Below are 18,161 nucleotides of genomic sequence, written 5' to 3'. Positions count from 1 at the left end.
CGCATAGCCCTGGCACAGAGCGGTTAGCCTCCTGTGAGATACTGCTCATGCTTGTATCCATCAGCCTGGGAAGGGCTGCTCAGGGGAAGATCAAGAAGTCACACCCTCTGGGACAATTAAAATTAAAATGAACTAGACACTCAGGAATCCTCTCTTTGGAGTCATTCTGCCTAGTCTGGGGCTGGGGCAAGATCACTTAATAGGCGCTTTTTCATCTTTAATTTCTCTGATTCAGAAAGTTTACAAGATCAATTGCTAAAAGGGCTAACGTGAGAAGATGAGGCAGCAAGTTGCTCAGAGCCCAGAGTCAGCTAACTCCTTAGCTTCTAATTAGAGCCCACAGGGACCCGCTTATATAAAGTCCGAGAGCTCACCACCTCCCATGCCAAACTCTCTCTAAATAAAGAATTTGAATTGCAACCCAGCAAGAATAGCATATCAACCTCCAGCCAGCCAGCACTTCCCAGGAATCTCAGTAATATCCTGCTTAAAATGCTGATACTTCTGCCCAAAGTAGCGCTCATGAATTCAGAGGCTGCTCTTCTCAGTCTTTACACCAAGAGACCCAGGAACCTTGCATCTTCAAGGGCTATCTGAAGTGATGCAACATGAAAATAAAACCAATGAGCTTTCAAGCTGCATTAGTTTAAATCTCATTTCTATGTCTTTCTACCTGTGTGACTTTGGAAAAATTACACAAACTTAAGCCTTCGTTTCCTCATCTATAGATGGGGATAAAAGAGAGCTTTGTGGGTACAAAAAAATAGTTAGAAAGAATAAATAAGACCTACTATTTGATAGCACAACAGGGTGACTATGGTCAATAATAACTAATTGTAAAGTTTAAAATAACTTAAGGAGTATAACTGGATTGTACATAACTCAAAGGATAAATGCTTGACGGGATCGATACCCTTTTCTCTATAATGTGCTTATTTCACATCGCATGCCTGTATCAAAACATCTCACGTGCCCCATAAATATATACACTTACTATAAGCCCACAAAAAATAAAAATAAAAAAATTTAACAAACGAGAGCTTTGTGAGCATTTAATTGATGTCAGCAATGTGCTTAGCACGGTATCTGGACTTACTAAATGCTAGATTCACTGCCCAATATGCTTAGTCCACCTGGTGCCAGCACACTGTACTCCTCCAAGGAGCAGGTCAAGATGGACCAATACCAGGAAGCTCGTGTGCTTCATGAGGAAAACAGAACTATACACAGACTTCATTTTAGCCAGGATTCTAATAGCTGTTCCATCACATGAGAGTAGTGACAGCCTTTCATTCATTTTATGCTTTTCTTTGTTGCCTTTACTCTTGGAGTAAATTAACCCTCCATTTGATTCCCTCCCCATGGGGAGGCACAGAGAGGAATGATGCTGACTGATGACAGTTTTATTATACCACATGATTCCTGGAAACAGGATGAAAGAAGAAAAAGCTGATCCCTTCCAGGAGTCCTACACTCTCCAAATGGAAACACAGCCCAGAAGGGGAATAGCTCATCCCAACTGGACTGGACAATACCTCTCCCAGGACTCTTCAATTTCCCTAGCAGGATACTTGCTTCTCTTCTCCCATCACTGTCTGCATATTTTCCTTAATGATGGCAAATTAAACTAAACTTTTTCTGTACAACTGGCTCTGGGGGATTCTAGAAAGCCTGGGAAGGAAGTTTCAATTTGTTCACTTGCTGAGAATGAATTCTGCTTCATATAACTCCTGACAAATTGCCATTTTTAAAGGGTTTGTTAATTTTCAATGAGCAAATGGCACATCAGATATCTTGTTTATTCAACAGATGCTCCTGAGCTAAACAAATGGTTCTTGTTTAACAAACATGGAAACATCTTGTCAGCTTTGCTGAGATCATCCTATTTAACTATCAAGGGAGGGTCCTGTGATTTGTAGAGAAAATATGAACTCCCTCTCTTCCATGTAGAGTTCTTAAAAGGGCTGGGACATTGGTTCCATTGAAAGAGATGATGTGAGGTTCCTTGATCACAGGCTGGGAAGCTGTTCTCAAAGAAAGAACCTAGGATTTCTCCCTTTCTCTGAAGTTGTCACATATATCTGATTCAGATCTACTTGATCCAGAAACCTCCCTGGTGGTGAATCTGAAAATAGCCTTGAAGGAGACACTCACTGGAGACACCGAGGTGGTATAAAATCAGAATTAAAATCTCAGCTTTAGAGTAAGCCTGCATTGGATCCTGGCTGTACCACCTACTAATTAACTTGGACTGATAACCACTCTCAACCTTAGTTTCCTCAACTATGATATAGGTCTAGTAAGACATGAAAGGTAAAGATGCTGATGATATTGATAAATGTCCATACCTTTTTTCCTAATTACATTTGAGGGAATTTAAATGGAGCAGAACTCGGGAATCAATCTCAGGAGCGGAGAGAAGAGACATTGGGAGAAGCCCAGTTCCTATGTCCTCCATTATTTAGAAGGAGTATATGTACATGTTTGATAATGTGGTAGCTCACTGACTCCAGTCAGAAGTGAAATCTGAACACAGTAGAGCCCTTCCAAGCCTCAAAACTTCAGCCTGATATCATAATTACTTTCAGCCAGAAAGCTATGGATCTGGCTAGACTGGGGGATAGGTTGGGATCGGGGCGGGGGAGACTTGGAAAGAAAAAAGGGAAAGAGACCAACTTGCCAGGAGTATGCAAGGACACATGGAGAGAGATGATGGCTGACCTCTGTCAAGTCTGAATGTGTAATGATAAATCCATCTGTTGATAGGTGCAGCACAGTACAATGTATTAATTATAAGAGGGACGACATTTCAAAGGCTCCCTGCTGGAAAGTATCACAGAGAATTACCTTGGGACAACATCAAAGTCACTGAAAATTAATTTACTCCACAGTATTAGATGCTTCAGAAAGATGCAAAGTGAAGTTGACTCCAGCTGAGCGTGGCAGAGCCAAGCACTGTCTGAAGGAGTTGCGGATATTAACAGATCTAAACTCAGGAAGAGCTGCAGAAGAACTCCCTAGGCATGGTTAATAATCTTATGAAATCTTTACAGCAACTCTATGAGGTAGATGGCATTATTATCGACATTAGGCTGATGAGGAAACTGAAGCTTAGAAAATCTGACCCAAATATTAGAGCTTTCAATAGAGAAGCCAAGAGGTTTGTCCCAGAAACATGCTCTTGGCCACAGTGAAAAGGTGTTAGAGAGGGTTCAGGGAGTTTCAAAAGTTTTGAGCAGAACTTTACAAGATAAGTGGATTTCCTGGATTTGCCTAGAATTGCATTCCCTGCCTTCATTGGCCTGGCAAAAGGAAGGCTTGCCAAAAGACTTGAAGGCATACAATCTTATGGCATGTAAGCATAACAGTGATTGGTGTGGGGTATGGGTGGAGAGATTAGGATAGTACATGACTATGAGTTTGGAAAGATGTTCCAGAAATTTGTTATGAGAAGGCATTCTGTGTCATGCTAAAGGATTTGTATAATATTGAGACTAGTTTTTGTCTATCTTGATTTCCAAAACGATCTATGGTAGATGCTGTTCACATGTAAGAAAATCAGGTGAGCATATTCTGATTTTGAGCAAATCTCAAATAATCTTTAATGAAATCCTGCATAGCAAAAACAATGATTTACATTCAATATATCTCTTTATGATCTATAAAGGCATCTTACTATGGTCAGTAAGAAATATTAAAGAAGCTGACACATTAGTTGTCATTCCATTGATTTCTATTCATTTAGGAATGCAAGTATGTAAGAATGACATCATTTTACTGATAACCTTGAATTGCCTCAAATTTTCAAAAAGAAAATGAGGGTGATAACTCATCAACATCAGTTCTTTATTACTGGCCACAAAATTTTTGTGACACACTTCACAAGGAATCATGACTCACTAATGTGTCATTACGCTTTAATTTTTTTTAAATAATTCTCTCGACTTCAGCAGCAGAAGTTTTTAACCAAATGATAACCTCATTTAGCCGGTGTTTTAGGAAACAAGAAGAAGCCATAAAGGACTGACTCAAGTTTTGGCAGTAAAACTGAAGGCAGAGAAACAGAGAGGAAGCTGGTCCAGGCAAAAGAAGAGGAGGACCTGGCTGAAGGAAGTGCCAACAGGGAAAAAGCAGATGCATCTAGGGAAGGGGTTTGAAGGTGTAATAAATTCAACAAGGGGGCCAAGAGGGTGTGAGCGGCTGGACCCTGCTGTTCAGAGGGACTGATGCAGTGAATAAAGGCAGTCTGGAGTTATTTGAGATTTCTAGGTCAGACAATTTGATGGATAGCGATATTGTTAACTAAAATAATCTGAGAAATCAGGAGAACTCATTTAACCAAGTTGGGGAAAGGAGGAGATGCAGTTCTTCTACATTTGGGGAATGGCAATATGTTCTGTTATGGACAGTTGGGTTTTGAGGTATATAGTAGAGCTATCTGGCAGTATTAGAGCCATATCAGGGTAGAGATGTTGCGAGGGGCATGAGAAGTATGTGTCTGAAATTCTGGAGAGAGTAGGGTGTGAGATAGGGTTTGGTAATCTTTAGAGGGACTGGAAGCATTGATGAGAGTGGGGAAATGTGTCTCTTTGCAAGCAAATGAAACAATGAAGAGAGCATCCTGGAAACACTGACATGTATAAGATCTCCAACCCAAGAGAAGCAAGCAAAGATGCAGCAGAGGATGGTCAGGAAGGTAAAAAGAAAAACAAGAAAATCATGATCAAGGAAGGACAAAGACTCCTGAAGGAAGTAGACAACCGTGTTAACATCTGCTGAAGTCAAGTAGGATGAGAAATTAAAGGAAAGCATGGGATTTGGCCATTAGGAGGTGCCTGATGGTTGCAGTAAAGGAAGTAGTGGTGGAGGAACCAGATGGGAGTGGGTTTAAAGGTGATTTGAAGGTAAGGAAGCACATTCATTACAACTAATTTCATACAATTTAGCAATGAAGAAAAGGAGGCAAACAGGAAAGTCACCTGAGTGGAAAAGGAAAAAATTGAGGTTTATTATTTATTTGAGACGGAGTCTCAGTCTGTCGCCCAGGCAGGAGTGCAGTGGCACACTCTCAACTCACTGCAACCTCCGCCTCCCGAGTTCAAGCAATTCTCCTGTCTCAACCTCCTGAGTACCTGGGAATACCGGCGCCTGCCACCACATCTGGCTAATTTTTGTATTTTTAGTAGACATGGGGTTTCACCATATTGGTTAGGCTGGTCCTGAACTCCTGACCTCAGGTGATCTGCCTGCCTTGGCCTCCCAAAGTGTTGGGATTACAGGCTTGAGCCACCATGCCTGGCCTTGTTTATTCTTTTAAATTGACAGATAGAGTTGAACATATTTATCATATATAATATGATGTTTTGAAATATAGATGCACAGTGGAATGGTTTCTTTTTGTCTCTTTTTCAAGATGGAAGAGAAATAATGAGGTTTTCAGTGGCAGAGAATAAGAAATTTGAAGATAGTGAACCAAGAGAGAGTTAACGGATGAAGCAAAACCCCTAACAGCTGGGAAGAGACAAGATTAAAAGTGTACCTGGAAATTTAAGTTCATAAAGAAGGTACAGCTATTCTTCCAACACCTCAGAGAAATAGGGGGAAAGAGCAAGAACTCTGGAGGGCAGTTCAGGGGCAAAGGAAAGCTGGTACATTTACGTCTTTTAGGCTCTACTTTTTTGGTGAGAGAGAAGGCTCAATGATTCCTGGAAGGAAGATGAAGGGAAGGACTGGGGGCTAAGGTGAGTAGTAAAGAAATGGTCATGATTTGGAGGAGCCTGACTCCTCCAAATAGGAGGAATAGGAGGGGAAGCCAATTAGAAAACAACACCAGGTAGCTAGAGCAAAGGCTTCTTGGCTAATCAAATAAGAAGAGTGGAAGGGAGCAGTCTTGACTGGTGCTGGGCTATTATGATTCTCTTTCTTCCAGAATGACATGACATGCTGAGGGTGCCTAACACACACATGGCAGGCAATAGTGTCAAATACAGTAAGGTCTCTAGATGTAACAATCCAAATGTGAGGCAGCAAATCCAAGACCCCACACCAGCTCTGCTCCTGGCAAGGAAAAAGCAGCCTTTTGTGGCCAGTGAAGGGGGTGCCCCAGCCTGTTCCTGATTCATGTTCAGCTTTTCCAAAACCAACTCTCAACCTCTAAACCCAGATCTTTCTCACCCCGTTCATCTCTGCCTCCTCAAGTCTACTGTTTCCCAGTAAGATCACAGGTCTAGAATAGATGCTCCTGCCCTGAATGTTGAAGAAGAGAGAGCTAAGAAATCAAGGTTCACAGGGAAATATTTCAGGAGGGATGGGACAGGGGAAGGCGTGCTTCTTACTGTTAATGCAGGCCTTTTGTGCAACGTGGTCACAAAATGTCAACCATGCATTTTTCCACCAGATGAGCCCATGCATGAATATTAATTTTTAAAAACTCTTTCTGAGTATTAGCTTTTTATAAAGCACAGTGTTTACCCAAGGGACCATCCATAACAGCAGTTAAACAGAGATACTCCAATTCATGGTATTTCTAGGGTCTTGGGAAATAGAAATCCTTTAAGTACCTTTATTCTGCTTCATGGGAGCTACTTTTCAAAGTTTAAATCGTTTTTATTTTAGATGACTCACTACCTAAATTCCATTTATAAATCAAAGGAGCTTTTGAGCAATTTGATGGGACTTAAATGGATTAGGAAAGAACAAACATCAAATATATGTATTTGGTTATTTGAGTTTATTGGATTTTTCTTTCTTTTTTCTTCTTCCTCTTTTACAAATGCTCCAAGTTAGGTCTGGTCTTTTAAGCTTTAGCCTGGAGATTAGGTGTATTGCCAGTAAATGACATGGTGTGGCTGTCTTCTTAGAATGACCAACTTCTGACTCTGCTGGTATTATGACTTCTGTGTTCTAGACCCAGGCTAAGAACATGTTCTTTCTAAAATCACATCGTCTCACTCATAACCACTCAACTCCAGCCTCTAGAACTTACACTGAGTATTTTACAATGCTGATCTAGAAGTTTCTACCCCCATCCAATTAGAGTATAAGGCTTTTAGCACTGGAAGGGTTCTCAGAGGTCGTCGTGTGCAGTTGGTTCTCAAGTTACCTGGGATGAATTCATTTTCCCAGACTGATTTTTTTTTTGTAAATGCAATAAAATATTAAAGAATGTCAAATTGCTACACGAGTTTCCACACTCTCAATAGATATACTTATCTGTGCACTTATCTCATCATAGACTAGTAGCAGTTTGTGAACCAGCACCCAGTTTCCTGACCACACACTGAGTAGGTATGATTCTGGTGCAAACTTCTCACCCTTTAGGTAAGGAAGCTGAAGTGCACAAGGAGGAGGCAATTAACCACAAGCACATCATTTCCTAGTAGGTCAGTTAGGCTACTAACCAGGGCTACTGATGTCAGCCACAATGACTGAATCTCCCCATATTCACTCACACAGATCAAGAGAGATGGATGCCCACCCCCAACAAAGACTCATTACCTGCACCCTACGTGATTTAGTTTTGTTAAGTATGTTTATATATCTGACTAGGTTAGGTTCCGGTTCCCTGTCATATATACACTATGATGTTTAATTTTACATGTCAACTTGATTGGACTAAGGAATACCTAGAGAATTGGTAAACTATTATTTCTGGGTATATCTGTGAGGGTGTTTCCAAAGGAGATTGGCGTGTGAGCCAGTGGACTGGGTGGGGAAGATCTGCCCTCACTATGGGCAGGCATCACTCAGTGGGCTGGGGGCCTGGAGAGAACAAAAAGAGGAAAGGTGAATTCTTTCTCTCTCCCTTTTTATCTCCTTCCCTACCTCCTTCTCTGCAGCTATCTCCCTCCCTTCCCCAAAGCTGAGATACCCTTCTTCTCCCACCCTTGAACATCAGAACTCCAGAATCTCTGAACTTTGGACTCCTGGACTTCAACCAGCAACCCCCCGCCCAGGTTCTCAAGCCTTCGGCCTCAGACTGAGATTCATACCCTCAGCTTCACTGATTCTGAGACTGTTGGACTTGGACTGAGCCATGCCAGCAGCTTCCCTGGGTCTCCAGCTTACAGAAGACCTATTGGGGTACCTTTCAACCTCTATAATTGCACGAGCCAATTCCCCTAATAAATTCCCTCTCATCCATCTATATCTATCTATCAATCATCCATCCAGCTTTGTATCTATCTATCTCCTATTGGTTCTCTCTCTGGAGAGCCCTGACTAATTCACAGACGATTAAGGAAGGCCTTTCGGAGTTCCAGTCTACACTAGATCCCTTGGTTTTACACTCACCATGGCAACCTTTAATCATCTTAAATTGCTCTTACCACAGTTAGTAATCACAACTTTAATTGTCTGATTATTTGATTTCTTCCTGTTTCCTTGCTACACCATAAGTGCTAAGAGGGCAGAGACGGTGTCTGTTTCACCCACCATTGTTTCCTAATGCCTAGTTCAGTGCCTGACTCCTAGCAGATGTTCAACAAATGTTGCTTGAAGTAATCAATTAATGAGTGGTGAAGTCATGCTCCGGCAGCACTCTGGGGCCATCTGCAGGCACTATGGGGAACTAGCAGCATGCTCAGAGCTGCTACCATAGAGAGGACTACAGGAACACCGCAGAGCTGCGACTGGCTGCATAGGCTACTGGCTGACTTGTTCAGCTTTCTCTAGCTCAGTAACTTTAGGCTAACTACTTCTCCAGGCTTCTTTCAATAGTCTTTTATCAATACAGCATGTGACACCCGAGGATCAGGTCTCCTGGCTGGATTCTGAGCTCTTTGAAGGAGGGGACATGGCTGGTGTCTATTCAGCATCCCCACAGTGCTCCAAGTGTGAAGGTGCAAATGCTCTGGTGGAAATACCTTGCAAGGCCCAAACAATTATTGTCAGTCAATTTACTGGGTCTACCTCCACCAAAAACATGTAAAAGCAAATTCAGGGCAACAAATGTAAATAGGTGTGACCGAAAGGCATCACACCTTATCTCACAAGTGATTATATTTGAAGTTATATACAAAAGAGTTTTCCAAGATTCAATTTGCCTTTTATTAAAGAGAGACAGTAGGGATGGCTGGGAATAACAGGACAAATAAATAATTATTAGTAACATCAGCACAACAGATACAGTGTGGCCACTTTGTCTACACAGTGATTCTGGTTAAGTCACTTTATCTCCCTGGGGCTCAGTTTCCTTATCTGTAAAATGAGAGTGTTTTAACTCCAATTGTCCAGATGTCTTAGAAACCAGCACATCTCTCAGGTTGCCAAGGTCGGTAGCTGTTCCAAAAATGGCTGCTGGTTTCCTGAGAGCAGCAGAAAGGAAGGATTCTTAGTCATTATACAGCCTCATAAATCATCGGGAGTCCATAGGATGTTTAATATGGAATCAGTTAATTTAATAGTCATTTTGACATAAGGAATTGTTTTCTTAAAGCTAGCACAGGCTGTAAAACCTCAAGTGATATTTTATGGCTGCCATATAATAAAATCATTCAGCAATTAGCGATTAATGACATACAACAGTAAGTTTCTTCATGGTCACTTCCCCCGGCTGCTGTTTCTTTCGTTCCACCCACTTCCTAGTTCAGCAACCATACGTGAGGTGACAAGCCTCCTTATATAACCAGAGTAGATTTCTGAGCCTAAAAGACCATCATCTCCACCAAAAGGTGTCTGATGGAGCCTGGCACTGTGGTGGGGCTAGATGAAAGTGCCTCACAAGCATGATCCAGGCCATGGAGGACAGTCAAGAAACTGGGCACTTCCTTGGACAAACAATCAAGGGTGGGGTTCAGTACAGAAAGGAATGAAGTTTTGAGTCTTTAGGTTTTGTTCTTTTTATAATGGGGCTAGCCCTTGCTGGGAAAGACAGGTAAACACTGTGAGCTTGACGGTCTTCCACACCCTTCTGCCTCTTACCCTTCTGTCCTTCACTGCACTTTTAACCTTGACCTCTCCAACCGCTGAAATACTCAACACCCTCCCACTACACCGGGTCCCTATCGTGGCACCTGCTCTGGTCTACCCTCCCACAAACACCAAAAGTTAAATTTGACAACATGGGCTTTGAACCCAGAAAGAACAGTTCTCCCACTTTCTAGCTCACAAACCAGCTCCACTATTTTCTGATTCGTATAACACCACAACCCTAGGAGACAGATTGCTGTTGTTATTAGAATACCGTTTTTTCAATGAAGAAACTGAGGCCCTGGGTGCCCAAGACACACAGCTAATTAGCAGTTTAAACCTACACAGTCTGCGGCCAACCCCATACACTGGGCCACTACATTATTCCACCTGCATGCTTCTTAAAAACATAAGTGCAGTAATGCATGCTGTGGACTTAGCACATTGCTTGACATCACATAAGCCCTCAGTAAACAATAATGTCTTATTGTTATTGCTATTCATGTATTATTTCATTGTTATTTACCACCATTATTATCAAAATTAATCTTGCCTCTTAGGAAAATAACAAGAATTTGAAATAAATAACTCTCTCCAAAGGTGGATGCCACCTGAATCCCCCTCTGTCCCAGGAATTTATCCTAAGTGTTGAGGTGTGGGTGGCTCATGGCTCTCAGCTGGGTCACTCTCTGGGAATTTTCCGCAGCTGATGACAGCCACCTCATTAGGGTCACACCCCTCCCCTGGTGGCAGCCCACATCTCATGGCCAGTCACTGTGGAGATATAAAGACCCAATCCTTTGGTTCAAGGCTGGACATTTCTGAAGGGCCATCCCAGCTACACAAGTGCTATAGGATCAGCTGCTGCACCTGTATCACAGGCAGCCTCTTTCTCCACCCATGCCATATCCCTCATTCCTCAAAGGTGGTGGTGTTCCTGAGAGCTCCTAAACCTCCTGAACACAACTTTTTTTTTTTTTTTTTGAGATAGGGTCTCGCTCTGTCACCCACTCTCTATTTGGAGGTCTATTTAAAAAAAGGGGGCCAGGCGCAGTGACTCATGCCTTTAATCCAAGCACTTTGGGGGGCCGAGGCAGGTGGATCACGAGGTCAGGAGATCGAGAGCATCCTGGCTAACACGGTGAAACCCTGTCTCTACTAAGAAATACAAAAAATTAGCCAGGTGTGGTGGCAGGCGCCTGTAGTCTCAGCTACTTGGGAGGCTGAGGCAGAAGAATGGCATGAACCTGGGAGGCGGAGCTTGTAGTGAGCCAAGATTGCACCACTGCACTCCAGCCTGGGTGACAGAGCGAGACTCCACCTCAAAAAAAAAAAAAAAAAGGAACACCACTTAAAACATCTCTCCCACCCTACCTCACCCCCACAAAACAAACACAAAACTACTCAGAGAACTTTCTTCAGTGCTTTCTTACCCTGGGAGAAATGATACCTAAGTCCAGAGCACAGCTTTCCAACAAATGTGTAAATATTATGCTGAATTTGAGCCCTTGTTTAAAAAATTATTTGTAAAGTCTATAAATTGGTGGCCACCATAACTTGTGAATTTGTTTCCAAGTAGAACTCTAGTTTCTAGATGTTACACATTACAGGAAACATTTTAAGACTGCAAACGAATTTGAATTTATTTTCTATACTTAAATTGTTTTTAACTTTTTTGTTTGTTTTTTTTTTTTGTTTTAAGACGGAGTTTCACTCTTGTTGGCCAGGCTGGAGTGCAATGGCGTGATCTCAGCTCACCACAACCTCCGCCTCCCGGGTTGAAGGGATTCTCCTGTCTCAGGCTCCCGAGTAGCTGGGATTATAGGCATGTGCCACCATGCCCAGCTAATTTTATATTTTTAATAGAGACGGGGTTTCTCCATGTTGGTCAGGCTGGTCTTGAACTCCTGACCTAGGTGATCCGCCTGCCTCAGCATCCCAAAGTGCTAGGATTACAGGTTTGAGCCACCGCGCCCAGACTTTTTAACTTTTTTAAATTGCAAACCACATCTTCTAGAATTCCCTGGATTTCCATCTTCTCTTTCCAGGACTCACTGCCCCCAGTAATGAATAGCCTTTTAATTGGCCACCTCGTCCCCAGCTCTTCCTTGTGTAATTTGCCCTTCACCCTGCTGTAAAAATGAGCTTCCTAAAGACCAGTCCTGAGCATGCTCTGCCCCTGAGTGGAACCCTTTAAAGGTGCACTGTATTAACTGCAAAATCTTTAGCCTGGCATTTAAAGCCTCTAAGTTATCACTTTAATCTTCTTTTCTAGGCTTATCGGCCAATCTCTCTCTCTCCAAGCATAGAATCCGAACTTCTTGACAGACTGACCTACTAACAATTTCCTAAACACACCTCATGCTTTTCTGTTTCTCTTCTTTCTCCTTCCTGTGACTGAAATGTCCGCCATTACCCACCATGCCAGAGGATCCACAAGCACGCACACAAGCTTGCCTGTTGAAATTGAAACCATCTTTCAAACCCCCCTCAAATTCCAACTCCTCCATGAACACATTACTGATGCCACTCCTCTGACACCTCTATCACAGGCTGTATCTGTCTCCTGGTACCTAACAATCCTTTGTATCAGCCATTTGTCCAGTTGTCTCAACTTGTCTTTGTCCTACTGTATCAGCTTAGCTTTTGCTGCATAATAAACTACCTCAACATTCAGCAGCTTAAACCAACAGTTATGTATTTTGCTGGTACATCTAAGGCCAGCTGGGATCAGCTTTTCTAGGCTGGGCTCAATGCGAGGCTCTGCTTCATGCTATGAATCCAGCAGAGCTTGGCATCCCATAGAGGGGAAGGCTCAGGTTGCTCTGTGGGTTCGTGATGGGGCCTGGGGTGAGGGGCCACAGCTACAGTGCAATGACAGAGCTTCCGCTTGTGTCACATTTGCTAAACTCAGCCAAAGCAAGTCACATGGATGATCCCAAGCCAAGGGATTGGGGAAATTCTCACTGCATACAGTGGAAAAACACTGAGAGTCCCATGGCAATGGGCTTGAATGCATAATTTATTACCTTAGAGAGAGTCAGAAATTGGAACAACCCCTACCTACCGTCCTTCATATCCCTTTCTATGTATACACTGTTCAAAGAGTAGGGACTCAAAAGTGTCTTTTCAATGGAATTCCTAAGTACATCTAAACAGGCATAGATAAAATCAGTAACCTCATTCATGTCATAATGTTAATAAAAACTACAGGCATTATTTTAATAAAGTCTAAAACAATATAGCATTTTACAGTTATGAAGCATTTTAAAGATTCTTTGCAGCCTGCAAAGCACACGGAAGTATATTATCTCATCTAGCAGGGAGTGTATGTATTTTGAAAAGATGCCTGGAGGTGCCAATGTCTTCATTGGTTGGAACAACCCTTTCCACTGTGTATTTCAAGCACGGTGGAGAAAAGAGGGGGTTTTTGATAAGGGGGAACCAGTTTGTACTACTCAAAGGGGAACACCTGGGACTCCACTAATTTGTCTCCCTGGTTTTCAAAATGACCTCTTAACTACCTCCTCTGGTTCTCAAAATCTAGTGTACAAAGGCATTGCCAGGAGAGCTTGTTCAGATGGAGATTCCTGAGGCCCAGGTCCAGAGATCCAGAGCAGGGATTTCCAGGTGGGGCCGAAGAAACTATCGGCATTTTTAAAATTTCTTTTTATTTGTGCAAAGTTGTGGGGTACATAATTTTTACATGTATATGATGCATAGTGACTGAGGATATTTAGGGCATCCCTCACCCAAGTACAATATATTTTTTAAGTATAGTTATTCTACTCTATTCTATTGAACATTGCATTTATTCCTTCTATCTAGAGTCTGCATTTTTAGCAAGCACCTCAGGTATTCACTGCCGGTTCTCCCTTGGTCATCACCCCTTTGAATTTTACAGATGAGGATGCAGAAAGCCAGAGAAATCCTACTAGTGCCCCAAGGCCTGGCTGCCCAGTGGCAGGAGTAGAATTAGCAACCAGAAGTCCTGTCTCCTACTCCAATGCTCTTTCCATTACACTGCAGAGTCCATGAAGTGTTTTCTTCTCCCTAACCTGTTGAGTTTCTTTCAGCTCTGGAAAAATCCTAACAAATCTCATTTAAAAAAATGGATGAAGGTATGTTTCCCTCAATAATGTAACTCATGTTCTAAATTTCCCTTTCTTTAAAAGTGGAAAACAATCATATAACCCAACTCCATTTGTTCTATTTCACTGTCACATCCTTCCATGACACTCGTTAAATGAAGATAGCAATGTTAAGAAATGTTAGGAAGCAGGATGGGATCTCAGACCTCTCATTCCCAGTATCACTTGGAGAAGCGCAAGGCCATCCCATTTTAAATCCCCCAGTGCTTTTAGCCCACTCATTGACAATTATTGCACACTGTGGTGCCTTTTATAGATCAGACTGGTTCCAGGGTCTGACCTTTTCAATGCTTCAGTCTCCTTGCATCCATCCAAAATGCTAAGTCTGCAGAGCTGGGATCCCCCAGGGGTTCCATCTCTCTCTGCCTCCATTGTGCACAGTTCTGCCCAAATTACTTGACAGCTCTCTTCAACACACTGTTAGGGGAAAAGGTTGGAGAATGTCGGAATATGACATGGCTGTCCAGCGGGGAGATGAGAGGAGGTGGGACAAGCCCCTAATCCATCATCCAGATTGTCTTTTCAAACAGCAGAAGCAGGTGAGATGCCTAAAAGGGGAGAACGTGTCCTGATTTGGAAAGATTTCAGGATTCCTAAATGAGAATTTTGTCCCTCATTGTATTTGTAAGCAATGAGGATTGAAATGGTAGAATACGCTACGTTCAGAAATACAGACATGTATACAGGAAGAAGGCCAGTGCCTTTGACAAGCAATACACTGACAGCTGAAAAAGCCTAATTGCTTGAAGAATCTATTTTAGGCATCTCTTTGAGAACAAAACAGGCTAGGGTGAGAGTGGATGATCCTCAGTGCCATTCGCCACCAAGTAAATGAAGGGGTCTATTTCTTCCAATCCAGTGCATTAGCACCAAACTTGCCAAAATCATGTCCATGTGAGTGTGGCCAGTTTTCTTCTTGCCAAATCAGGGTGAGCCCACTGATAGAGCAATGGGTCACCAGGTGGCATCCTCCTAAAACAATGGTTTGGGTAGTTTAGCAAAGACTTTAACCATTCAAGCAGTGTCTACGCTATGGAATTAGACACTTCAGGGTGGTGTGGGCACTAAGGAAAGACAACCTGGAGACTGTTATACCCATATGTAGCTTGTGTGAAATGAAAAGACCATTCTAGATCAATGATTTTCTAAACATTTTCATTTGCTTCTTTAATGAATGGTCTTCTGTCATTAAAAAAAACTTATACAGAAGTCCAATATACAAAGCTAATTAAGAATCTGAGTACTTCTGGCTGGAGCAAAAATGAAGGGTGTAAGAACTTGATCACTAAGCATCCCAAGCCTTCTCTATACCTAATGTAGTCCCTTAGGCAATGCATCAGACTACCCATAAGGCTTCCAAGAGCACTGTTGGAGAAATCACTAGACCACATAATCTCTCATGGTTCTTCCCACTCTAACTTTTCTATAACTCTTTAGTATAAATGAGAGTATATCAATTCAGTGGAATATTCTGCCACTACCAAAATGATCCTTATGATTACTATGTACATATGCAGCAAACTGTTAATGTTAGGTGTAAGTTTTTTTAAAAGATGTAAAATAGTCATACAATCTAACTGAAATTTTGTGAGAAATTATTTTCATGTGTACAAAACTTAAAAGAGAGCAAGAAAGGAAGAAAGTATTGTGTTAAAATGATTATCTTCAGTTTAGTTTTTAAAAATGTTTAATGCTGTTTTCAATTAAACAAAAATGTATGGTTTCAAAAAATGTACATTTGGTACACGCATTTAAAGTGTACAACTGTATAATTTTTCACCAGAGAATGGAACTTGAGATCAGGATGCTTTAGAAGATTTGCATCTGTCATAAGTCAGTAGCTCATCTATTGACAGAGAGTGGCATATAAATGCACTTAAGCATCACAAGAAAGTGCCAAATGTTAATAAATCTTCATAAAACATGAATATCATGCCATTCTCTTGCACAAAAGATGAATGTCCTCTATTACCAAGATAGACAAGTCCAAACCACTTATCTGGCATGTGAGGTGCTTCACAATCTGAATCTGGTCTATATCCCTGCTTTATTTCTCATTGCTCCTCGACACAAACTTTTTTTTCCTAACAGAGTTGCTGGGAGTGAGGGGCAAAATATTTTGTGCCTCAGAGAACATTCTGCACAACTAGAGGGGTGCAGAAGGCACTTACTGAGTAGAAACCAGGGATCTGGTCAACATCTTAGAATGCAAATGACAATTATCCAGCCCAAAATGTCAAAAACATAGAGGTTGAGAAACGCTATTCTAGCGGATCAACTAACTAACTACTCTCCAGACATATGACCTCAGCTTTGATCCAATTGTTCTTCCTTCCAGAAGGATCTGTTTCACTTTCTTACTTGCCAATTCAAACCATTCTTCAAGATTCTTCCATCCTATCTCCTCCAGGAACCCTTTTCTGGGAACACCAGGATGATGTGAGACCTTTACCTTCTGAGCAGTCCTAATACTTCCTTCAATACTCTTTTGGTGCTTTCCATTTCTGGCCATGGTCCCTCTGAGACATGCAAGAATTTGTCTCAACATTTGCATCACATCTGCTAAAGTACATATGATCTGATACAACACAATCTTTAGTTTGATGACTTTTGAATTTTATTTAATTTTGTTAACATCAAGCCAGAAATATTTTTCCTCTAAAAATAGTAGTTTTAGCAAGTATAATAATAAGCCATATGCTGATTGCTGGAAAAACAGGTCAGAAATATGAACTCTGACTATGAGGCAATGGGATTTGAATGTTGAAAAAAAGTGCAGATGCTTTCTAACTTGCTTAGTTTCAAAGTGATGCTATGTGCCATTTGCTACCAAATTAACAAGGATAGTCATTTATTCCAATTATCTCCTCTTATTATAAGCTGTTTTATTATTAATTTTATAGCTGGTATTTGTTAAGCACTTACTGTGCTCCAGGCTAAGAAGAATGACATTCAGCCAGGAGGCAAAGGCAGGATGTAGCATCTGGTATCCTTTCTGACTGGTGGAGCACTGGTCACAAAGGTTAAATGCAACTGCCAAAAGCCACATAAAACTATTAAGGGCAGAGCTTTTTATTTAGATCCCAAATATCCCCGCAGGTGTTTATCCTTACTCACATCACACTCTTCTAATAACTTGAAGTTTATAAAGCATATTCTCTCTGTAGTCTGAAGAATTTAAGGGTATCGACTAGCAACTATATGTGTCCTTAGGCAAATTACGTATGTATCTCAAGGTTACCCTGTTCAGTCATGCCAATCTGAAGAGAGATGCTGTGTGCAACATGTCTTTACTTACAATAGCACCAAAACTGAACATTCATAGGAATAACATTAATTAAAAACATGTAGAGCTAATATGAAGAAAACTTTACTAAGGAACTCACAGAATGGAATAAAAAGAGAGACAAACCATGTGGCCAATACTCAAAACTGGATATTGAAAAAAATTCCATTATTTTCAAATGAATGTATAGCTTGGCTGCGATTCTAATCAATAGTCTAATTAGTTGCTTTATGGGGAGGAAGATATTTTAAAACATGACAAGGTGATTCTAAATTCATTTGGATGAATCAATAAGTAAAATAAGCCAAGAATATTTTGAAAAAGAAGAGTTCTATTTTGGTTTTATTTGGTTGTATTTTGCAGAGAGGAGACTTACCCAGCCAGACACTCTATTGTGTTATAAACCACGATTAAACACAATGTGTTCTGGCCACAGGGCACAGAAGACTGACCAATCCAGTAAAACGAAAGCTGCGAAATGCCACCAACCTTGAGACCTCGAGGGCTCCTAACCTCTGACCAGAGTTTATCTTATGTAAAAAACCGTCAGAGGAAACCAGTCCAAAATATGGGCACAGAATTAAGTGAAAAGATGTTCACTGCATTTCATTTTACTTAAAAAAAAAAAAGAAATCCTATAAATCTTAAAAATATCCATTGGTATGGAAAATTATTAAGTTATTAAAATGATTAAATTGTTATATAGTCACTAGATGAAATAGTTAACTATTAATATGAGATTTCTAAAATATATTGTTGGAAAATACTAAATATTTTTATGCCTTTTATATATATCTAATATCTAATATATATGA

At 41.2% G+C, this 18,161-nt stretch overlaps 1 protein-coding gene across 1 annotated transcript in view, besides 1 other annotated feature; it reads right to left on the bottom strand.

The window, feature by feature from the left end:
• The window catches only part of SORCS3 (sortilin related VPS10 domain containing receptor 3), a 623,953-nt gene that overhangs the window by 192,697 nt on the left and 413,095 nt on the right, over window positions 1-18,161 (bottom strand). The window lies entirely within an intron of this gene.
• Window positions 3,118-4,317: an enhancer, noted in NCBI's record as "P300/CBP strongly-dependent group 1 enhancer chr10:106827987-106829186 (GRCh37/hg19 assembly coordinates)". NCBI's record gives its function as "activates an origin of replication core promoter dependent on BRD2, BRD4, P300/CBP, MED14 and CDK7 cofactors, with strong dependence on P300/CBP, by STARR-seq in HCT116 cells {active_cell/tissue: HCT116}" and the evidence as "EXISTENCE:reporter gene assay evidence [ECO:0000049][PMID:35650434]".

This window comes from Homo sapiens, chromosome 10 (assembly GCF_000001405.40).
Source record: "Homo sapiens chromosome 10, GRCh38.p14 Primary Assembly".
Lineage (NCBI taxonomy): Eukaryota > Metazoa > Chordata > Mammalia > Primates > Hominidae > Homo > Homo sapiens.
This window is presented reverse-complemented; position numbering and strand designations above follow the sequence as displayed.